General features: G+C 34.5%; 1 protein-coding gene across 6 annotated transcripts, besides 1 other annotated feature; it reads right to left on the reverse strand.

Moving 5' to 3' along the window:
- GNPDA2 (glucosamine-6-phosphate deaminase 2) lies at positions 604–25,365 on the reverse strand. Of its 6 annotated transcripts, none has more exons than NR_073094.2 (7): positions 25,283–25,365; positions 17,118–17,219; positions 15,922–16,104; positions 13,405–13,468; positions 9,762–9,946; positions 6,561–6,735; positions 604–1,951 (listed from the first exon to the last, which is right to left on the reverse strand). NR_073094.2 is itself a non-coding variant. In NM_138335.3 (7 exons), the coding sequence occupies exons 2-7, from the start codon at positions 21,014–21,016 to the stop codon at positions 1,890–1,892; spliced, it is 831 nt and encodes a 276-aa protein (NP_612208.1). In that variant the 5' UTR covers positions 21,017–21,051; positions 25,283–25,365; the 3' UTR covers positions 604–1,889. The 6 variants fall into 6 exon arrangements, 3 of the variants coding, with proteins under 3 accessions (NP_612208.1, NP_001257810.1, NP_001257809.1); NM_138335.3 differs by lacking the exon at positions 13,405–13,468 and adding an exon at positions 20,893–21,051; NM_001270881.2 differs by lacking the exon at positions 13,405–13,468.
- Positions 24,781–25,075: a silencer, noted in NCBI's record as "tiled region #4028; K562 Repressive DNase matched - State 1:Tss". NCBI's record gives its function as "represses a minimal TATA promoter and a strong SV40 promoter by Sharpr-MPRA in K562 cells {active_cell/tissue: K562}" and the evidence as "EXISTENCE:reporter gene assay evidence [ECO:0000049][PMID:27701403]".
- Positions 25,366–25,379: the final 14 nt, after the last annotated feature.

Genomic DNA, 25,379 nt, shown 5'->3' on the forward strand with positions numbered 1-25,379 from the left:
TTGGAGTTGTGTGCTTTATAAGTGCATTCCTCAGAGGACTTAATATTACTAAGATTTTAGCAAACACTGAAATATGTTTAAACACTGTTATCAATATTAAAATAGCACCGTTTATTGACTTTAATATGTGACAACCACTGTGCTGAGCTATGTATGCTTCCCTTATTCAATCTATGTAAAAATTTTGGGGAAGTAGCTGAGACTTTTTTATTTCCCTGACAGAGCTGGGATTCAGTGGTTGGTTTCTTGAAAAAGCTAGGTTCTTTGCCTAACAGCAGCTTAGCTCCTCAATTTAGGGAATGAAAGCAGGAATGAAAATGGCCAGAGTTTTCGCTCCTCAGCTTGTGGAGGAGCTTGAGTACATGAACCTCAACTAAGCCCCTAACATCAAGGGAAGGAAAATGGAAAGGAGAATTTTTAGACCTTTAAAGCAGAGAAATTACTGGTGAATCATGTAGCACAACAGGTACCTTTAGCTTTTTCACTGTGATGCTGTATGACTTTCTAAGGTAGTCAGCATAGTTTGTAGTAAATGATTCTTATTACTGGAAGTGTAAGTGGAGTGTTACTCACTAGTTATTTAAAAAACATTTATAAGGCTATTAAAACATCATCTGGAATTAAAGCAGCATAATTTACCCCATCCCCCACTTTTAACCATAAAACCCTATTACCAATTTTATTTCATTAATTTATTTGCTATTTTAATATTTTAAGAAACTACATTTTAATCACATAGACAAGCAGATAAGTAAGGCTTCTTCTACCAGGTGGGCTTATGAAATGCAAAATAAGCAAAAGGAGCATTTTTTTGCTCCCCACAGAGGCAAAGACATCTTTTAACCTAACTCTCCTAATGCATGATGGTAACAAACCCAAAATGAATGCAGGTTCACATGTACTATAATTGTTGGGAGTCGAATGCATGTATTCTTCAGGTTCACTTCTGGAAATTTAGATAACTTATTTATTACACGCTTTATTTGAGTTAAAGATAAAAAACAATATACTTTTATGTAAATTGCTATGGCAATGTAGTTTACAGTAATTCCTTTTATATATACTTCGTATTATTCTTTTAGACATTTTATAAGGAATAAAGCTAATTGTATATTAAGTTTAACAATAATCAGAAAATATTCTCCAAAAGAATTTCCTGAAGTGGCTTGCTAGGTATAAAGCTCATAATTGTCAAGATACTTATATTAGGGACATGAACCCAAGTCGTTAAATAAAAATAAGATATTTGTAAAAAAGTGCTATAGAAGAAGGTGCACAAAAAACATGCACTTACACATACTTTCCAAAAGGATGTAAACTGTACTTTTAGGCACTGTCATCTCTTCAAATTTCCTTTACCAATGATATATAGCACAATTTTTGATGTCTAGATGGTGCTGTAGGAAGATGACTAAGGCAACCACGTGCAGAAAAGCATGTGTGTGATGCACAGAAAATATAAAGATTGCATTCCAAAAGTGAAGGTCTGCAATGATAGTTTGTTATCTGAAAGGTTTGGAGTGTCTTGTCATTAAAAAATGAAATATACGCCACTGGAGTCATATCACAAATGGTGCCTGATGTGGACACTCTACCTTTAAAATGACTTTTTAAACAGGCAGACATTTCTATGCTGTTTTATAGGTGGCTATGTGACTTCAGTACTTTATAATAAATAGCCAGTCAATCTTGAGAGCCAGCTACTTCTCTTAAACCCAAGTACAAGATATAAATATTCAAAATATGGAATGTTTAACATAGAGACTCGAATGAAAAAATGACAATCTTCAAAATTCCCCATGTTTTGTCATATTGCATAGCTGAAAATTCATCTACTACTTAGTAAAAAGTGCTCTGTTCATTCAAGCTGAATTTTGCTCCAGTCTCCTTCAGTTTCCATCTTTCATACTGAATAGTGGATCCACAAGTTTATTGTGCACATGCATTAGACCTTAAAGAAAAAAAGCACAGTTCTAGTTGTTTTTATTAATTTTGAACTATCTCATTTACTTTAGACAACAAAGTATTTTTTATAAGACACAGTAAGCCTGTTTAGTTCCCATCTTGATATAGTCAAGTTTATTGAAAAAGTACAAATAGAAATGTTTCAGAATGTCTTAAGTTTTATCTACCTAGCAAATACCAATTTATAATTATGTAACAGTGCAGATCTAGAATGTGTACAGGTACTTTGGGAGTAACCAGAAGAGCATTTCTTGTCTTCAAAGAGATTAAGCATGACAAATTTGAATACTGACTTAGATAATAGGTTTTAATTATATCTAAAAGTCTATGTTGATATTGATCCTCTGGCAGTTCCTCTACTAGACTCCAGCCAGGGGCTCAGAACTGCTGTCTCACTCTTAATACATTACCCTATCCATTCGTCTGGTAAATTACTTTCCAATAGTTTGGCATGTGTATTTATGACAAAGGTTGATTACAAATTCTACACTGAGGGAGGGTTACTAAAACAAGACAGAAAACAACCTGTATTAAATCATTTAATTCAGAATAGAAATTACGATTTTAAATCCGGTAGATTATAACTTTCATTTTGTAATTGGTACATATACTTGCAGACTGCTCTTAGCTATGGAAGCTGCTTGGGAAATAGCTGATCTTCCAGTTACTCCTGTTTTAATGCCTCAGTACTATATTTCTTTGGGGAGAAAAAAGTTCTAAAAAGACTGACCCAGTTAATGAACCAGAGATTTTATATTTTGGAGGGTAAAGAAATGAGTTAAGTTTTCCAGGTATTAAGAACATGGGAGGGTGGGGAAAGGCACTTAATGCGGTTTTGCAGGAAATGGGATTACTGGATTGGAGAGATAGGTTGCTTGTTAGTAAACAGATGTTCCTTGTCAGAAAGGCTGCAAAAAGGACTCTAAAATCCCAGCTTTGAGAAAGACCCACTTTTAAGGGACAAGCAAAGAGTACTGGGAAGTGTTTGTGTAGTAGGAGAAATTCTAACCATAAGAATGGGACTCTAAAGGAGGGAAGGGGGAAGCATTCCATTCACTAGTCCTGCAACTGCTCAACAGCCTACTTGAAGGTCACCTGAAACTTCATGTCCAGTAGGAGAGGGGACAACAAAGATAAGGGTAATATCAGCTGTATGATTTAGAAGATGCAACATTTTCCAGAGTATCACTTTGTAGAGGATCGTTTTTCTACTTAAATAGTATTCATCTGTCATTTGCTAACAACTTTGATTACGGAAAGAATACACAGAGCTTTAAAATACATGCAAATTAAAATATCAGTAAATATTAAAAATTCAACTCCTTTATAAAATTTTTTTCTTTACATTGGATATATCTTTTATACATCAAATAGGACTGCTTCCAAACTAGAAATAATTATTTTGAAAATTCTATTAATTGCTTTTTAGATATTAAGTCAAATATTTACTGTGACTTTAGGTAAAAACTGACAACTTTCTACATACGAATTTTATATAAATAAATAATTGCTACTTAAGTCAAACAGAAATAATTCTTCTGATAAAAATGCACCAGACTTCCTGAAACGTTACCAGAAGAAAGGTTAAATGTCACAGATTCTAACCAATGTCTATACAAAGTAACTTTTATGGTTTTGACTCAAAATGAACTCATTCTACCTTTGTCAAACTACTGAGGTGGAGCCTAAATACAAAGTAAGAGAAAAAAATTCATGATGATGATGTCATATACTAAAAATCAAAGCTGTTCTATTTAAAAAGCAAAAATGAAAAGCGAGAATGAATAAAACAAATCCCCACGTACTAAACTTGTTGTCTTGTGATTAACTTGTATCTTTCAAAAGGTATATACCGTTATATAGGTATATATTGAAATAAACTTGCATTTACTGACAATTTTTATTGTTTTGGATCTAGTTAACCTAGATCTTATCTAGGCACTAAATAAAACCCTTTAAGATTCTGGTCAGCACTTTTTAGTGATGACAGAAGAAAGGGTAGTGATGTGAATGGAATTTGAAGAGTTATGGATGACAATTATAGGAATTTACATCCTCCAGTATTTTGATATACTAGTAACTCAATGGAGGTATGAAAAGTATACAAACTACATTTGAAATGTGTTTATTTAAGAATATTCAATTTCTCTACCCTTTACTAAAATGCTGTAAAATGAGGCCCATATGTAGCCCAGAATGTCTAAATTCTGTCTTCATATTGAAGGAGGTATCCTAACAGGCTGATACCCTGAAACCTCTTCAGAAATACAGACAGCTCCAAAGTGGAAAATACTGTGTCCTCTTGATGCAGTGCAGCTATCCTCTCACGAATGGTCTGTTTCAAAATTTTTCAGAAGAGCTTACAATTAGATGAACTAAAAGAACTAAATACATATAAACATCTACCACCCTTCTATTTTAAATTATCTAACATATGTCGATATACCTTTTTTGGAAGCAGTGATTATCATATGGGAAAAAAGCAGATGGAAATATGGTTTTGATGTAGATGGTATCATACCTAGAGTTTATTCTGGGAGGCAGTATAATAGAATAGACAAAAGCCTGCATACTCCAGAGATCAGCCTGATTTTGATTTCTATTACCCAGCTCTGCCCAAATATGTGCTGTATGACTTTGGGTAAGTAGCTTAACGTCTCTGTCTGTTAAGCCTATTAATTTAAAAATGGGACTATGAATACCCATTTCATAACATTTTTGTGATAAGTAAATCAATAAGTAAAATGCATTTAGAATAGTGCCTGGTCATAGAGATACTGGCTGTTATTAAATATCTTATTAAATATTCACCAAGATATAAAAATCTGATAAAAACCTAATTGTGACAAAATTAGATTAGTACAGGGATTTATCTGGGACTTAATGAGGACTAGAAAATGGCCATGTTAAATGAATCTCCTTAAAACTGGAATTAAAATTTGTGGATAGTGAGGATTCCTTGTAGTCAAGGAATCTATTATTTGGGATGAAATCTGAAGGGTTACATGGGAAAATAGAGTTAAAACTCCATCAAATGCTCTTTTATTCACAAATCAGAAATTTTTCAGTTTTTCAGTTTTTCAGTTTGATATATTTGTGGCTTGGTAAATTAGTAATTTAAATGGTAAAAATATAAATGACTAGAAATAATCTAAGTGTTAATAAGGAAATGTTTAAATAAATTATGATTTATGTACTTAACTATCCATTAAAATGCTTCCAAATATTTAGTAAAACAGGAAAATGCTCATGAAACATAAGTACAAATACAAAACTATATACAAAGCATGATCAGCATTTTGTTTAAAAATAGACTATTTTCAGTGCTTGCCAAATGTCAGTTATTTGTATAACACCTTCAAGATATTTGCCATATTCACACATATACATGAAATATGAGTTGGTTTTCTTTGCATTGAATTAAAAATTTAAGATTATATACTTTATTTCTGAGTATGAGATGCTATAAATTGTAAGACACACCATTTTATGTACCACTGAGAAAAAAATGCTACCCAGTAAGCTATGATCTGACACCAGTTTTAAGACACAGTCCAACATCAGCAAGATCAACGTGTATTAGAGCCAATCAAATATGGTAGCTTTTTTGGACCTTGTCTTAAGCAATAATATCCAAAAAATATAGCTTTGATTTATTCAGTGTATTTTCCAATAGGCATTAAAATAAATACCTAGTTACTAGAGTAAAAAAGATTAAAAGGTATAATCATGTAGCAAAAGTAGCATACATACTACATAGTGAATCACTGACCTATCTATATGATCAACTATGTAACTTTTAATATCAGCTATGTAAATACAGGTGCTTTATGAAAATTACCTGTTTGTACAGTTTGCTTACATATGTGTAATATGTGGAGCTGACTCTTAAATCAGAGAATAGGTTCTACATTGGGTATAGGCAAAATGTCCCTTGAAAATCTCTTAAAACCATTATATCAAGCATATGTGTTTTGTAATACACAGCCTGGTAGAGTAAGGTTTCTGAATTACTGAACTAGACTACAGGAAAAAGGAAAATCAACATGAAGTCTGGGCAATCAAACTCCTGCTTACTTGCAGAGTTTATTCCATACTATTTTAACATTTAGACATTATAACTTTAATATATGGGAATAAATTGGCTTAAAATTGTAAAGATTAAATTAGATAGTGGGAGATCTCTTATCCACTGATTAGGTTCTAAATTAAGGTTAGAGGGGAGTGAGGAAGAGGGATTGAGGTGGGACTAGTAAACATGAAAAGAAATCCAGAATGGACAAAGATACATTTTCTTTTGGGTTATTTGGTCTTGTATATTCAATATGAAAGTAAATTATTAAACCTTGGATTTCAAGAAAAATTGTTTACTGAAAATAGAGACTGAAGAGATTCTCTTCATGAAAAAAAAAAAAAGGTACTACTTTGAAGATACTATTATCTGAGGTGAGAACTTTCCATTACTTGAAAGAACTAGCTATGTGTTGCCACTTTTCAATAGGTCACAGTGTGAGATTTAACCCCACAGTCACAGTAAGTTTTAATTGTCACTCACAACAGATTATCTCAGTCGGCTTTTGAAATTCAGTGCTCACCTTTAAAGTATTTCACAGTTTTAACTCTTAATTCTAAAGTAGCATCTTCATCGCATACAAAAATAGTCCGGGGATGCTGCTGGAAAGCGGAAACAGTCCACATGTGATTGACTCCTTCTTCTATTGCTTTGTACAGGGCAAATGCCTTGTGTGCCCCTGTTATAAGGATCATTACCTGAAAAATTATGAACATCAATTGTTAAAACTTGTTCCAAATGAGTAAGAAGCTCTATTTTTTTTAAACGAGAACTTAAGCACCAATATTTTTTTCTGAGAGAAAGAAAAATACATAGCTCCACATAATAGTTCAAGGTATTCATTTCTACTTTTTAAGATTAACAAGCACAAAATGTTGCTTCTAGTTTAACAAAGCAAAACAATATCTTGTTATGGGTTATTAATGCAAACACTATAATACCTGTAACTTTTAACATAGTGAATGATGATGTATAAAAGAAACCTGGGACAATGAAGAAAAAGAAACAAAAGGACTGTGTTGCAAAAGCAGAGTTACAAATCTATAAATAATTTATACAATCTAGAATGATACACCAAGTTGCTGTAGTCTAGATAAGCAAAAGATACTATGTCAGAAAAGCAAAGACTCTAAAACAACAGGTAATTTGAAGAGTTATCAAGAAAAGCCTGAAGAGCATTTCACTGAACATGTGCTATTCAAAGTTGACTCAGAATAAAAACTGGATTTAAAAAAGGATTAGGGATCTACTTAAACATAGGAACTGTCTTATAAGCACATAGGAACTGTCTTATAATCACATATGACTGATATTACCCTTATAAGCTACAGAAAATCCAAGCTCTTGGTCCCCAGGCCCTAAATGCCAATGAAATAATGCAATGACATGTTGCAAATGTGAATGTGTATGTGTCGGAATCTTTTCTTTATCATGTTTAAGCTGGAAATTGATCCCATTTAACACCTCATCTACACACATATTTTTGTAATATAATCTTTAAACTTTTTTTCCTCATTACAATTGTTTTAAAAAACAATGTTAAAATTGCTGTAGTTCTAAAATATAACAAATTTTGTATTACATATTTTATAACTAGACCTAAAATGGGAGGAAATACTCTGCACTCTCCTTGAATTACCTCAACTCCTCAAAACACCACCATGAGAGAAATACTATTCTTACTCATATTTTAAAGATAAGGAAACTGAGGCATATTCTGTAACTGGCCCAAGGTTTTGGTAAGATACAAACAAGTAGTTTTTTTCTACAGTGCATATTCTTAGCGATTAACAATTACATTACATTGCCTCTTGTAAAAGTTCTAACAATTAGACAATATGAGCTAAGAGTCTTTTCATTATGGATGCACACTCTAAAAAGGTAATGGGACAGGTGGCAAGAAATCTCAACATGAAGTATATATACTGAGGAAAAAAAAGACAACTAAACTTTTATTGGTGAGAAAAGGTAAGTACATACCTGGCATTACCATTATGAAGGGAGTGGAGGGAAAGGAGGCTGCTGGAAGGGAAGCTTAGTATAGGATGAAGAATTCATTATTGGTGTTTATCTATGGCTAAGGCATAGATAAAACAAATTGGTCTTTAAATAGACTTGATCTGATATGTGATTAGTTATATCATACCTGTTCTACTCTCAAGGAGATTATTTCTCATATCATGGGAAAGGACAAACTATATGGAATAATTTGTTATGTTTGTTCAAACTGCAGAATCCCTAAATTTAAAGAAGCAAGCTAGGTGTGGATACCAGGTGATTCTTATGTACACTAATGTTTGACAACCAGTGCTCAGGCAGATGTTGCATTGATACAGCTTTTTGCTACTTAAGTGTAGCAATAACACTATTTTAAAAGGTTATGAAATAAGCTAATTTTAAAGAATAATCAACATTTAATCATCCCATAAACTGATATAAGTGATTTACAAAAATCTATAAGCTCATATTAAATCCTCCACCATCCCTTCTTGGTTGGAATTTTTAAGTCAAATGTAATTTTTAATAAATGAGGAAATTAGCCTGGGCAACACAGTGAGACCTTGTCACTTCCAAAAAAAAAAAAATGAAAAATTGAAAAATCAGCCAGGCATGGTGGTGTGCACCTGAAGTCCCAGCTACTTAGGAGGCTGGGGTGGGAAGATCTCTTGAGCCCTGGAGGTTGAGGCTGCAGTAAGCTGTAATCACACACTGCACTCCTGTCTGGGCAAAAACTGACCCAAAGAAAAAAACTCAATATTTGAGTAATTGTTTGTTCTAAAAATCAGCATAAAAACTGTATTAAAACTTACATCTTGTTAAATGTAATCTATTACATAACTCAGTTTCACATTTTAGAAATAAGATTGCTCTAAAATCCTTTTTTCAACTTATTGACTATGAAGTTTCAGTCCTTGAAAGGTCTTTTATTCATATACCTATGATTTCTAGGTTTCTCATATATTTTGATTGACAGTTCTATTAGTATGTTCAAGTTTAAATATAATTATATCAAGATAAGTTACTTTTTCATCATACCTTGTCTATAGTTTTTTCCTCTGAACCTGTCCAATCTGGCTACCAGAAAGGAACAGAGTTCTGGGTTTCCATATAATTTAACTACATATAACCACGAACTGACTACAATGTGTTCTGTATTCTCAAGGAAGAAAATGACAGCCCAATTTAAAAAAACTTAAAAATTACACAGGGTCTTCTGTTCAGAGCTCTTCCATGCTTAAATATGCCAAATGTAGAACAGTTGCAGCCCTAGCTGAGTTCCTTTTCTGCTGGAAACCAACAGGGCTCTATCATCCTACATAACATACAGTCAAAAAGCATTTAAATCATCCTGTGAGCTCCAAAAAAGATGTAGTGTAACTAGCATTGCATCATTGTCCCAACAGTCCTGTCATGAGACACTTTCAATAAAAAACAAACGATGTGATCAGTAAGATTTTAGGACCTCAAACTGGAGCAGGAATAGGCAAGTGAAATAGTACCTCAAAAGTGGTGGTGCTTAATTCTTAGTTTACAGCTCCAAAAGACTTAATTGATCCCTAAACATGTCAATGAGACTGACAAAAGTTGGTTACTGAAAACTAGAAAACAATTTATACTGCAAATAGAATGCAATCAAAATATCACTTATTCAGCATCATAACTCCTCCAAAATATTAATATATTAACATGAAAAGAAAGACAGCAAAGAATATTTAATGCTTACTTCTCTAGCATCCATCACTGTCCCCACACCAACAGTTAGAGCCATAGTTGGCACTTTTGATAAATCTCCATCAAAATATTTGGCATTTGCCAAGATGGTATCCATTGCTAGAGTCTTTAATCTTGTCCTTGACACTAAACTGGATCCAGGCTCATTGAAAGCGATATGACCATCTGGACCAATTCCTTTCAAAAGAAATATACATACATATACACATGAAGTAAATAGGTTTCACAAAGTTCAATGTGCGTTAAAGAACAAAAAAAAAATCACCTTGTTTTATTTTATACTTGAATTCCTATTACTGCATTAAAATATTTGTTTCTGTATTGATTCAACAAATGTTTCCATGTTTTCTACATGTTTAGCAATGAGCTGGCATGATTCTAATAGTAAAATTAAGTATCACCTTATATTAATATAACATTTGATAATTTATAAAGCCCTTTCACATGCATCATCACAACAGATTATCAAATATTATTTAATAATCTTATGAGATGGCCAGATTAGCCAAATCTATTTCCCTCATTTCCTCCACCTTTTTTAACACACAAAAGGAAATTTTGATGCTCAAGAAAAATAAGTGACTTGTTCAATGTCACAACTGGGTAAATACTGAGACAGGACTTGGATCTGTCTTCTGACTCCTAACTTGGACATCTTTATAGTCACACTTTAATTTACTTGGTTGTAGTCCAGATAGGGCAATTAACTAGTAGACCTTTCTGTAGGAGAGTTTCCTCACTTATAAAAATGTGTGGATTGGATAAGATAATGTCTAGGGCAACAGTTTTTTTTTTTCAAACTTCTGACTGTAACCCTTGTAAGAAATAACATTTGATATTGCAATCTAGTATATATATATATATATATACACATATACAACACAAACATATAAAATATAATTAAGACAAGAATTCCATGAAATCATACTTACCCTTACTAGGAACCATACAAGCTGTTTTCTATGACATTGCATTTCATTAACAAAAGGAAAATGTTGCACGTGACTGGCTATATTGATTTTATGATATAATAATGGGTGACAACCAGTTTTAAAACACTGCTTTAAAGAGACCTAGTGCCAACTCTAATATTCTAGGATTACCTCTAAAATATAGACAGGAATATGACATTCTTATTTGAAGGAAATGGAAGGTAATTCTTTTCACAAACTTAAGAATCTTTCCATGACATAAATAAATCGAGTTTTATTTATAAGTACCCTAGTAGCTAGTCACATTTCTGGTAACCTCAGCCAAAAAATAAATCTGCCAATTCCTTGAGTCATTAAAATATCTTTTACATTTATATTCTGCATATTTACTTTAATGATATCTGTATTTTACTGACACTTAGCACACAAGTTTAACAAAATTTTCCCAGGCCACAAGAAGATAAAATATGACAAAGAGTAACCCAGTTTTGAAAAATGAAGAAATGAATACTCTATTGAAGCAAGTACAGAATGCCAAAGTACAACAATTTATGAATTTTTAATATGGAGACATAAGGCCAGACCTACATATGGTTAATATGCATTGACTGTTTCTACTATTAAGTATGTATCTGCTTATAAATATATATTAATTATAGACATTAAATTATCTAGATTTGTAAAAGTGTTCTGTTTCTCCTCTTAGGTATACATATCCCTAACATTTATATTTCTCTATATATGTGTAGAGGGAAGGATGGGATCAGGAAAATACAAGCTTCAGGAAAAAAATATGAAGTCTACTAAGATCTACTACTACTGACCTCACTGATGATTTGGGCCTTATAGAAGTGTACAGCTAAGCTGAAATTATGAGCAAAGGTTAATAACAGAGCTGGGTCAAGGTATTTGCTTGTTGGCTATGAATAACTGAGGTTCCTGATATAAAATTATTTTTTTAAATGTGGCTAATTCTTATTCAGCCTTTAAGTCTAAATTAAGATATCAGCACCTCTATGAAACATCTCTAAAACTCACTGTCTGGAGTAAATGTCATTCCTGTGTTCCTACAGTTCTAAGGGTAGAATGTACATGCACTCTTCATGAAAGTAAGGGCTTTATCTTCATTACTATATTACCATTTAGAATAACAAGTGACACATAGGACGCACTTATTAAATAATGGCTGGATAAATGAATGTATGGTTGCTATTCTTTGGTCAGCTCGGTATAGTTTATTCCACCTCCCACCTTGTTCTCTTCTGCCTTGCTCCCCTCACCAGAGGGGCTGGAACAATTTTAATTTCCTATATCCCTCTTAGGTAAAGTGACTGTGGTCTAGAGATAAGCACTTGTCTCAGGCTGAGCCAATCAAAATATCTGTCTGGATCTGAATCTTGACCAGGGATACAGTTAACGAAGACAGCATGGTGAACTGAAGCACTGGATGACAGCACTGCAGGGAGAAGATTGATGAGTTTCTACTTCTGAGATCTGAGGTTCTCTGTTTTTCCAAAGACTTGGTTGTTTTAACTTTTCCTTCAGTTTGTGAGTTACCCTAGAATCATTCCAGTTAATTTACTTTTGATCCCATTAGTTATTTCCTTTTTCTACCAAAGCAAAGAATCCAAGCATGCAACCAAATCAGAAGGTTAACATTTTCTCCACTGTCTTCTTTTATTTTTACTTTTTAAAAACACTATTAGGCCGGGTGCAGTGGCTCACACCTGTAATCCTAGCACTTTGGGAGGCCAAGGCAGGTGGATCACCAGAGGTCAGGAGTTCGAGACCAGCCTGGCCAATGTGGCAAAACCCCATCTCCACTAAAGATACAAAAATTAGCCGGGCATGGCGGCAAGTGCCTGTAGTCACAGCTACTCAGGAGGCTGAGGCAGGAGGATCGCTTGAACCTGGGAGGTGGAGGTTGCAGTAAGCCAAGATCAAGCCACTGTACTCCAGCCTGGGCAACAGAGCGAGACTCTGTCTCAACAACAACAAAAAACCCAAGACACTACTGCGTTAAGATATTTTAAAAGTTTATATATTTAGATTTTATTGTAAAACTAGATTTTTAAAATTATTTATTTATTCATTTTGAGACGGAGTTTCACTCTTGTTGCCCAGGCTGGAGTGCAATGGCACGATATCAGCTCACCACAACCTCGGCCTCCCAGGTTCAAGTGATTCTCCTGCCTCAGCCTCCCGAGTAGCTGGGATTACAGGCATGCACCACCACGCCCAGCTAATTTTGTATTTTTTTTTAGTAGAGACGGGGTTTCTCCATGTTGGTCAGGCTGGTGTCGAACTCCCAACCTCAGGTGATCTGCGCACCTCAGCCTCCCAAAGTGCTGGGATTATAGGTGTGAGCCACCGGATCCCAGCCCTAGATTTTATTTTTAAAAATCCATGTTTGTATATCTTATTGCTGGGGTTAAGTCAGGAATTGCATGATACACCTTTTACCCTTTCTCTGAACACGTTTGCCATCAGAGGAGGAATTAGAACATTTGAGTATGTATTTCCTCCTTTTTCTTTCCCTCTTCCCTCAGAGGAAAGGGACCTCTGCTCTAATTCCCTGGAATGAGCAATAGCAGATTAACATTTTTGAGCTCTTCTCATTCTACTGTTTCCAATTCAAAGGGCAGGAGTGAAAAACCCCATTCTGGCTTCAAGCCCAAACTGCAATCTCTATTTCAACTTTACCTTTAATAAAGCTGATATTTTGATCCCATTTGGCACAGTTCTTAGAGTTTTTATTAACCAAACCCTGGAACAAAAGAAGGGTAGTTGTAAGACCCAGATGCCAATCCTCATCTAAAAATCCAATGATGATAAACCTAGATCAACAAATGAGATTCTTTCATGAATACATATCCAATAATAGGGCATCCCAAATAAGGAAAAGTTCAAAGAAAATGCAATAATCCTTCTCTCTCTCTGCACAATTATGTCCTTTAGATGGTACATATAAAATGTCAGGCATTGGATCATCCATGACTACAGTGAAGATGTTAATGTAAGAGGCACAGGAACTCTCTTAAAATATATTTGGGAGCGGGGAGGAGCGGGGAAACAACTACAGGAAGCTTAAGACAAACTGGTTAAAAAACCAAGTCAAATTCTTTTTAGTGGTGTCAGTGATAAACATATATAATTATAACTTATGCAACATCTATTTCAAAAGGAGAACTGAGGTGGTTTATACTGAAGAAACATAACCCCCTCCCAAAAAAAATTAGCTGAAAAGAAGTACGAAATGATTTAAAGTTATAAGGAAAGAGGAAAGTTCTACCAGACATCTTGGATAAGAATTACAGGCTTAAACATTATTTTATGCTATGAATGCTTTCTGGAAGGCAGGCAAAGGAATAAAATCAAGTGTTCTTATCAGTGTTATTCCCCATAGTAAAATCTATTTCCTACCTTTGGGTCTACAAGAGATTTGTCACATGCATACTTATGTAAGGTCAATAAATTAACAAGGGGGAAAGAAAGTCTACAAATGAAGATATTTTCAAGCAGCCACTTTTAATAATGAACCTCAAACAACTAAGAGCCTTTTTTTGCATTATAGTAAATGAGTGAAAACATTTTTTGATATAAGCAGTTGAAGTATGTGGTACTCCAGTAATTCTACCAGATTTTGGTGTGGAGCTTAGAAAATCTAAAGATTAGATGGTCTATGCACCCCTCAGACACTCTCAAATATCTACTGTCTAGCCTGAATATTGGAAGGTACAAATGGTTAATTATCTCAAAATTGAGTCATACGTACAAAGCAGGAGTATGCAAATGTTCTCTAGGATTACTGAAGTAATATTAGTAAATTTTATTTAAAACAGATAACCTTCTAATTTGAAAAGCAATAGTCTAACTTGGTTTCTTGCTCCAATAAACAACCATTCTATCAAGAAAGTAAATGTTATTGACTCTGCTAGGTAGAAGTAAAAACTATCTTAAAGAGAAGATTTCAGTCTTCCTGGATGTCCCTAGAGGGAATTCGGTAAAAATCCCAAGGAATTCAGTAATTCTAAGGGACAATTATTTCCGCATTTACAGTTGAGAGAGAAAGAGAAGACTGAAGTAGCACTTATGGAGTACCAACTATATACCAAGCACTGTGTAAGGCATTTTATACATGTTACAACATGATTAATTCTCACAAATTTTGGAATGTTTAATATTAATCCTCTTTTACAAATGATGTACCTATACTGAACTTCAATAAACTTTCCCAGGTCATACAGATACTAAGTGGCTAAAACAGGATACAATTTTACGTCTGACTTTAAAACCAAATTTCCCCCAATGATAATCAACTATCTCAACCATACTTGGCCACTTCAAGTATAAATTAACCTCAGGACAGCTCTATTGAAGATCAAATTCATGTAATTTTGATCAGTGTTCTATTAAGTTAATAATAAGTTATATACAGATAATTTACAGCATTAGTATTTTTAGTTGAATATTAAAGAATCTGGCAAAAAATTTTGATTTTAGTTTAGTTGATGTTGAACTATTCTTATAGCAATTAGCTAGCTGTCTGCGATAGTTTACACTGATAATAGAAAACCACGTTGTCATTACAAAGGAAAAAACTTATTTTTAACTGTAGATTATATATACACACACATATATAAATTACAAGTGGAATTTGGTAAATTAAACATTAATTTTGGAATTTATTATGACAATTATACAGCTTAACTCATATTAACTTAAGGCTGGTAAGTAAAAAGTTTTACATCATTCTTAACTGATTACTCAGTAAGATGAAACAATTAAAGTAATCTACTAAAATCCACCTGTTCCTCATGCAAACGTTTAAACTCTGTAATTTGATAAGTAGGCTGGCTAGAGTTTTAAAGAAATAGTAAAAAGAAGCTATCATTTAGGTAAAGAAACATATTACTCATTTTGAAAGATGTGGTAAACTGTCAACTTTAAAGAGGTAATTAACAGAGTTTAACGGGGATTGGGATCTACCTCTCAAGGCATAAGGTAAACAATTCCAGCTGTCAATTTGAAGATTAAGACGGGAATTTTAAGATTATTTTCTGAAGAAAATGAAAACAGGAATCAGTAGCAGAATAAACGCGTATTACGGACAGCCACAGGTGCTCTTTACATTACACAATGGGAAGATTTATTTTTTAAATTTAAAAATCCCTAATTCAAACACTAACAAACAGTTAATGACAAAAGGTTTTTACATACCTCCAACAAAAAGATCTATTCCTCCAGCTTCTTTTATTTTGTTTTCAAAAGCATCACATTCTGCTTGTAAATCTGCAGCATTCCCGTCAAGGATATGTGCATTATTAGGATCTATATCGATATGCTTAAAAAAATTATTCCACATATAAGAATGGTAGCTTTCAGGATGATTTCTTGGAAGTCCTAAAGATGAAGTTAATAAAAATATAAGTATTCCTGAAATAAATCTAAAGTTTATTTTTCTTTTTAAGTCATAAGTGCTATTTAATAAATCTAACTTCTCTATACCATATTCAATTTAAAAGCATTCTTATGTGGAATATATGATTATATGCCTAGTATTAATCACCCTAAATGTATGCATTAATTGATAAAACATCTATGGAACACTATTATCTCATTTTGTAGGTGAACAATTGAAACACAAGAATCTTTCCCAAAGGTCCCATAGTTCGCAAAGGAGTTAGGATTCAAACACAGAAAGTCTAGCTCATGTGCACTTAGTAACTATACTCTTCTCAAACACAAAATTTTAACCAATGAAATTGACTTACATGTTAAGCTCAAAATAAATTAAGTAGCCATTCAAGTGAAATGATAGCCATGTTCCTCCTCTATTCATCCTGTATGTGTGCAGATTATGTGGGATCACAACACTTCTTTGGCTATCATTTATGCTACCATTAAATACACATTTCTATATTTAAATTTTAACACAGAGTTTCTATGCATCACAGATTTCAGGTAGGCAAGTTAACAATAAATTATAAAAGCTCCAGGGCTACCAATATAGCTTTTGATTTGAAAAAATACTTAACTAATTACTTTTACATGTACGTTAGTTTATCCTGACAACACTGGTTTTAACTCTGCCTTAAGAAAAAAAGAGAATAAGAAATGTGAGTAGACTGGCTTAAAGTTACATCACTGTTGAGTGGCAGAGCCCAGGATGAATGCAGAGCTTCTGATTTCTAGTCCTTCATTCCTTCCACTATTCTGTGCTACTATCACAAAAATACAGGTTTTTAAATAAACTCCCAATCTCATCTGAAAGCAGTACATTTTAGAAATATATTCATACATTAATATTATATTCAAAACATAAATTCAAATATACTTGTATTCTAAAACTACATTCATTTTATTCCAAATATAACATACCCAAATAATGGTCAATATATTTAAGTATAGCTTACCTACATATTCATCCATATTAAAGGTCTTCACATATTTAAAAGAAAGGTGTCCATTCTTATGATATTCTATTAGTTTTTTATAGCATCCTAAAGGTGTACTCCCTAAAAGACATAAAAATTCCATTTTCTAAAATGACTTAATAATCTATTAAATAAACTTTTTATTAACTTTACCTGTGTTTTTCTTACTTAATAATATTCTGTAGTTCTGATTTATTAGGCAATTATTAACTTAAATACATAATCAACTAACAAGTACTTTGAAATTTTGGTAAACCAGAATTTGCTGAATAAAGCTGGAAATCTGTCAATAAAAATTAAAGTTTGGAAAATTATCCTTGAGTTGTTGGGTACTGGGATATACTATAACAAATTCTAAGATTAGAAGCTTCTAGAATATATAACTGACTTTTTAAAAATCTCCCTTTCTGAAAAAAAAATCTTGAGTTCTTGCACAAATGATATGTAAATAGGTCAAGTGTTGACCATTTACTGAAATTAAAAGGGAAAACAGGGCTAAATTTAAATATTGCCCCTACTTTCAAAATAGAATCTCCAACTGGCAAACACTGAGTAGGGACTTTAGCCTTACAGCTTTCTAAATGGAGCCCCTGTTTCTCATCTTTTGATAACTTCAGCATGCATCAGCTAAAATGTGTAAGGTGAGAAAAAGAAGTTATTTTTGCTTAAGATAGAACTTATAGGAAAGAGGATATTTCATCTGAGTTCTTGATTCTATTGTTTTATAAAATCATAGTTTGATATGTGAAAAGATGGCGCTTCATGATATGACAAAATAAAAATAAATATATTTAGCCACTCGAGGATGGCCTTCATCTTTGTTTTCTAAATTTGTTACTTTTTTTTTCATTTTAACTTCAAACTGAAAGGCTAGATTGACTGCATTCTTCTAACAAGTTATCTGGCCGTCCCAATCCTAGTTGGAGTACTGATTCCTAGCTAACCCACCATCACAAAACAGAACAGTGTAAAACAAAAGGCTGCACAAAAAATTCCAACCCAAGTATTATACAGAAATCTGATAAAACTAAACAGTCTCTGACAAAAACAAATACAAAGGAAATTCAAGAATAGTAAAAAGACTGCCTCTTGTTTGAGATGTCAGAATAGACAAGGCTATAAATAAATACCACACAGCAGAAGAAAAAAAGATTTTCTAAAAGCTAAGCACATATGTTGTTTTCAATTACAATTATTAATTTAAAAATTATGTAGTAAAATTTTACGTTTCTCAACAACTATAGCCCACTAACATGAAACCTGTCTAAAAGATGGATAAATATGCTTTCCCTCTTCCTTTCTCGAAGGATAAGTGAATCTCTTCTCTCTTTTAGTGTCAAGAGATGAGTTATAGGAGTCTCTCAATTTAAGGATATATGAATAAAAAGGTGAGCTGTCACAATGGAGGTGACAAATTCATTTTCTATTTTGTAATCAATGTGGCCAAAAAAAAAGACTGAAGAAAAAAAAAGAACTGGTTAAAGAAACTTAATTTTTATATTTGCTTTGTAATAGTCATTACTAACACAATTTAGCAAGTACCTACTATGATTTATATAAAACAAAGATTAAGACATTTTCTTTAAGAACTCACAATATAGGGATAAGCAAGTACAAAATAACCATAACACAGGAAAAACATTATAAATAATCTAAAAGAAGTCTGAGTATTGCAGAACATCAAATAAAAAAGACTACAATCTTGCGAGTTGGAAGAACAATAAAAGAAAATGGCATTTCAATTCAGTCTTGATTAAGGGATACACTTTCAACAAAGAGGAAACTAACTCAGAGCAGAGAAAAGATGGAGCGGGAGGTTCAACGATGACATCTGTCTACCATGTGGCTAGATGCTGCGCTAATGTTTTTATATATTACCTCACATAAAGCTCACAATCTTGAGAAACTGGCATTATCTTTCCCATTTTGAAGACAAAATAACTGGGTCAAAAAGATTAAGGAATTTGCCAAATGTCATATGGCTGTGAAACCAGGGATTCCAATCTAGATAGGTCTGGTGCCAGAGTTCATATAGATTCCATTAAATAACATGCTAGGAATATGAGTGAAAGCAAAGCAAAGCAAAGCAGCCAGCAACTTCAAGCCTATTCTTGAACTGCAAGCAGTCAAATATGCCTAGCCCAGTTCTGTGTAAGGAGATGGTGGGAATAAGTTTTGGGAAGCAGATCAGGTTCACAGCATGCAGGCCTTTAAATGTCAAGCTCATTAAGGTCACGTGAGTAAATATAAAATTGAACAGATATTGCCCAGAAATTGCGCTTGATAGGGAGATAATTACAATGCAGCCTGGTACAAGCAATTACCGACATGTATGTTCAAGTCTCAGAAGCAGTGGGGGAAGAGGACATAATTAACTTGTCGATGGTCAATGAAGGAGAGTAATGGAAAATTTCAACAAGGTTTTCCAGAGATCCTCACTTGGCAGGTATATTACTAGCAGTTATACTACCCAAAATAAAGCAAACGTTGTAGATCTAAATACACAAAAAGATGTTTAGCACTGCTGACATTTAAGACTAAGTCTTTCTGTCCCCACTCAAATTACTGTTTTTTTCTGCATCATAATTAACACAATGTTATTAACAGAGGTAGGCTGAGTGTAATGAAGGGTAACAGTATAGAAACTATACAGAAACCACGTTCAACCCCAAGGGGTCACATATCAGAACTGAGGGTGCTGGGGGTGTAGTACTGGTGTGTCCAGTGAAAAAAAAAAAACCCTTTTGCCATTCTCACCAAGATCTACTGCCCTGGACCAAAAGAGAAAAAGCAAAACAAAACAATCAACTTGAAGAGTACCATTCACGGAAATTACTCAAGTGGGAAAAAATTACAATTGTAGTTTTTATGTAATTACCATGTATGAGGGGAGGAGCTGGAGAAAACAGTCTGTTTAAATAAAACACACGGGAACTATAAATTTATAGACTACAGTATACAAGGGACTTACACATACACTATCTTAGCTGAATCTCAAAACAGCATCTTAAGTTATTATCCTTATCTTTCTTATAGGTAAGGAAACCAAGGCTCAGGGGTATAGAACAAATGCCTTGTAGTCAATAAGGAGCAACTTTAGTTCCAGGTCTAACACTCTGTGAAAATCATGGGTCAAATAAAGTGCCATAAGATCAAATGACACCACCTAGTCGTTTTTTAAGAGAATGCTTAATGGAAAACTGAATTCAATAAAATATGTAATTACTGTGATGAAGATATATTTTTCACTTGTAATACATCTATAATAGAAGAAGCAAATAGTAAAAGGCTAATAAACATTATATAATATATAATTTATAACTTCTATATTAATAAGGATTTATAAGGCAGGTGAAGTTAAATTAAGAGGCAACAGTACATACCTTAGGTACCTCTTAATGATTAATAAGAAAGCCAATCAACTAAAAACTGGTATGAATGGTAAAAGCAATGTTCCCCAAAACAAAGGACTACTAGAAAAATGTACAAAAAATATGAACAACACTTAAGTTACAATATTTCCTATTGCATTTTGGAGTGACAGGTGAGACTAAATTTTGGCACAAGAACTAGTAACACATTGTAGATAGTAGATTTTATATATATGCATTTTTCTGGCCTTTTATACTATGATGTTCAATTAGTGACATGCCAATAAATGAATGGGGAAAGTATCTTAAAAGAAACCCTTCAATTCCATCAGAATTAAATTTAGATAATATCAGAATATAAAATGGAAAAAGTAGTTAATTACCTGTTGGTAAACCCAGTGTAAAATATCTGTCCTGTCCAGGTTTGAACTGAATGATGCGATTACAGATGTATTTGGCTGCCCATTCACTAGCCAAGTCATAGTTATCAAGAATTACAAGCCTCATTACGGTGACGCACAGCTTCCAGAACAAGTTCAAACCTGAGAAAAGTCCATTGTAGAACACTTTACATAATAAACAGATAATTTAAATTCAGTAACTTTTTAAAAGATGTAAATAATAAATAGAGCACTGAAACAGAATATACTGATGATTTTTAAAAGTACATTACTGAAGAAGGACATGCACATATACAATCTGAATTTAAAAAATAGTAATAGCTGTTCTCTTTTGAGCAGACACTGAGTTTAAGGCAGTGGGCTAGGTCATTTAAGTATAGTTAGCCTTCTGTGGATTCCATATTCGAGGATTCAGCCAACCAAGAACTGAAAATATTTAGGGGAAAAAGATGTTTGCATCTGTATTAAACAGGTACAGACTTTTTTTTGTCATTATTCCCTAAACAATACAGTATAACAACTATTTACACAGTATTTACATTGTATTAGGTATTATAAGTAATCTAGAGATAAAGTATATGGGAGTATGGGTGCAGGTGATATGCAAGTACTATGTCATACAATATGAGGGACTTAAGCATCTGTGGATTTTGGTATCTGAAGGGGGATCCTAGAATCAATCCCCAACAGATACTAGGGACAAGTGTACATATTTTAATCCTTACAACCATCTTGTGAAGTAAATAAAATGCCCAGTTATAGATGAGGAAATGGACTCACATAATTTGACTAAGGTCACACAGGTAGTAAGCAACAAGGTCAGAATTCAAATTATAACAATAGGATCACACTAGACATGTTATTTTTAATAAGAGAATTCAACAGAAGAAAAAGAAAACAAAGTGAACTAAATAAACTGCTCATCTCTGGAGGAGAAATTTCTTGACAAAAAGCAATTTTAGTTCCTCAAAAATTATTCTAAAATTAAGAAAAATTATTATACGTATATTAAGAGATCGGAGTCACTTAAAAGCTACATAATTCCATTTTACACAATGTAGGTTGACTTATACCATGAAAGATGTGGAAATCAGCATTCTTACAGTAACTCACAGCTTCTGTTATCTGTAAGACATATTGTTTTCCTTTTTTTTAAAAAAATGGTATAAATTTAAGGGGTACAAATGCAATTTTGTTACATGGATATATTATTTAGTGACTAGGTCTGGGGTTTTGGTGTATCTATCACCTGAATAATGTACAATGATCCTAGCAATTTCTCATCATCTACCCACTCCTACTCCCCAACCCTTCTAAGCCTCTAATATCAGTCTACTTTCCATCACCACGTGTACACATTATTTAACTCCCACTTGTAAGTGAGAACATGTGGTATTTTTCTTTCTATTTGGGAGTTGTTTCACTTAAGATGATGGCCTCCAGTTACTGCAAAGGACATGATTTCATTTTCAATGGCTGAATTTCGCGGTGTATATATATACCACATTTTCTTTATCCAATCATTCACTGATGGACACTCAGGTTGATTTCTTATCTTTGCTACTGTTGTTATTGGAAGGAAGGTCATGAGTGTGAGGTGTCCAGTTCCTTGGCATTTTGAACAAAGAACTGCACAAAAGGAACGAAACACAGGAATGAAGCAGCGAAAGCAGGGATACTGAAGCAAGAAAGCACCCCATGGGGTGGGAGTGGGCCCAAGCAAGCGGCTCAAGGGTCCGGTTACAAAGTTTTCTGGGTTTTAATACTCCTTTTGAGGTCCCTTATCGGTTACCCCTTATCTGCATGAAGGATTTGGTCCGTGGCTAATTAAAGGCTGAGGTGAATTGGCTCCCTATGCAGATGAAGGGATGGCCCATGCTTAGTCCACGGACAATCCAAGGCACTTTCCCCTTCCATCTGAGAGGTGGTGGAAGGCAGTCGATCGTAGGGAGAGTAGCCTTTGGTCCTTTGCTACTTGGGCATGGGGAGATGGGTTTTTTCCTTTTGGTCTAGCTTTAGGAAGTTTGCGTTAATTGGTTAACTGGCTTTAGGTTACCTGCCCCCAGACGCAGGTGTTTTCTCTTTTAGGAAGTCAGCACAAATTGGCCTTAGATTTCCTGCCCCCAGACCTTGGTGTTTTCCTTTGATTTAGCTTTAGGAAGTCAGCACGAATTGGCCTTAAGTCCTCTGCCTCCAGACCCTATTCTACTGCCTCACTGTGAATAGTGCTGAGATAAAAATGAATGCGGGTATCTTTTTGATATAATGAATTATTTTCCTTCGGGTAGATACCCAGTAGTGAGATTGCCTGATCAAATGGTAGTTCTATTTTCAGTTCTTTGAGAAATCTTCATACTTTTTTCTACAGAAGTTGAACTGACATTACCATCAATAGTTTATAAACGTCCCCTTATAACATTTACTGAACATTCTGTAATAATTCCCATAATTCTTAGATTTTTAATTCTTATTTTTATATTAAATGGATCAGTCACCAATACCAAGCTTTTTATAACATGGTTTCAGCATTCCTGAGTTTTGTACCCACACACTTTACATAGAGTAATAAGTCAAATTTTCTAAATTAATGAGATTAAAAGGTCTTATTAAAATAAATGTATGGAATCTAAATGTCTTTAAGAAGGTAACAGTTTCGAATTCTGACACAACAACAAAAAATCATGGTCACCATGATCTAGAATTCTGGCCCGATAACAATTATTTATTTACAGAAAATAAATTACATAGTAAGTCATAAATTCAGTCCAACAACTGGACTCAGCCTCCACTTAAATATAATCCATAATCTAATGTCAAAAACAATTTTAGAGTTAAACCAAAGAATCAGAAAGAATTATTGGCTGTAATGAACATCAAAAGATATATTTACTTCTAACAAGAATATATGGCCAGCTGATTGTTAATAAAACGGAAAAAAAATAAGGTAAGGAGGACGAGAAGCATTAGAGCTTTCCAATGTCTTCTGCATCCTGGGCATGTTATTTTTCTCAGTTCAACACACGTTTGAAGACCTATTATATTCTAAGCACTATGCTAGGTTCTGTAGACACAAAAATGATTAACTCTATTGTCAAAGGGCTTAGAATCACTTGTCTCTGAGGTTGAAAGCATTATTCTCACTCTTCATATACAGAAAACTGCAACTACGAGAAGTTTATTGCTGACGTTAAAAAGTGGCCCGGGGAGCTGGCTTTAAAACTAAGTGTTTCTGACTCAAAGAGACATTAGCCAAAGATGTCTTACCGGTTGAGAATCACTTACGATGCTAGTTAAAAATACAGATTCTCAGGTCCCTCTCCCTAGACACAGTGTTTCAAAAGATCTGAAATGAAGTCCAAGGAATCTCTGCTTTTGCAAATTATCACAGGGGATATTCATAATCAGGTGAAATTTGTTAAGAACACCACACATCTCACTGAAACGAAGTTTAAGCAAGTCTCTCAGACCAAGGTACAGGCAACTTTTTGTTTTCTTAAACTCTCTGGAGGGCGCAGAGTCACCTCCAAAAGTCCCAAATGAATCCCTTCACCCAGAGCAAAGAAGAATTTCTTCACCACATTTAAGTTTTTAAGATTTGACTTTTCCAGTTTTTGCCAATCCTCAGAGATCCAAACTATTGTCGCCTTATGCAATTCTCTGGCATCACAAGACAGCATCAAAAAACAACAGAGCACCACCCTTTCCCTCGTCTTCCTTCAGGTGCTGATTCATTTTGGATGTGCATCGCTAGGAAAAAGGGCTGCTGAATATAAATCGCAAAACTTCAATGGTGGATGACAACTTCTACACCCGTGAAGTTACACAGCTAGTTAATGGCGGGGCCAAGACCAGAATCTACACTTGCAGAACCTCTGCTCTGAGCTTTTCCCTACTCAACCTGACCTGTCCTGAAAGCGTAAGGGTGGCCTGGCCGCGCGTGTGGGACCGACCCGAGGAGGGACGAGAGACAGCAAAGAAGGCTGTGGTTCCTGCCCGGGAGGCGGGGGCTGCAGATTCCCCTCAGCTGCGCGTTTGCCTGGCCCTCACTTGGCAAAGGACAGCGAATGCAAATGAGGATGACTGTTAGGAATTTTTAACGAGTGTAGAGAGAGGTGTCAAGAAGAAGCCGCGAGAGAGGAGAGGGCAGGGACGCCTTCTCCCGTAGGCACAAATCCGGAGAGGACAACCAGGTCCGCGAGTGGCAATACGGGAGACCCCACGCGCCCCCAGCCTCGAGGTTCCTGAGCACCCATTCCGCCCCGGCCCGGCGTCCCAGTCTCAGCACAAAGGCCGCACAGGGCGAAGTTGCCGTCGGGTCCCCCGACCCGAGTCCCCTTCTTGGCGCCCCCGCCGCACCCCCCGCTAAACTTACCGGCAGACCCAATGGTTCTTCGATGCTGGAACAGCGGGAACAAGCAACACCCAACCACCCGAGAGCGACCCCAGCTGACCAGTGGAGCGCGAATCCC

The sequence above is a fragment of the Homo sapiens genome, chromosome 4, assembly GCF_000001405.40.
Source record: "Homo sapiens chromosome 4, GRCh38.p14 Primary Assembly".
Taxonomy (NCBI): domain Eukaryota; kingdom Metazoa; phylum Chordata; class Mammalia; order Primates; family Hominidae; genus Homo; species Homo sapiens.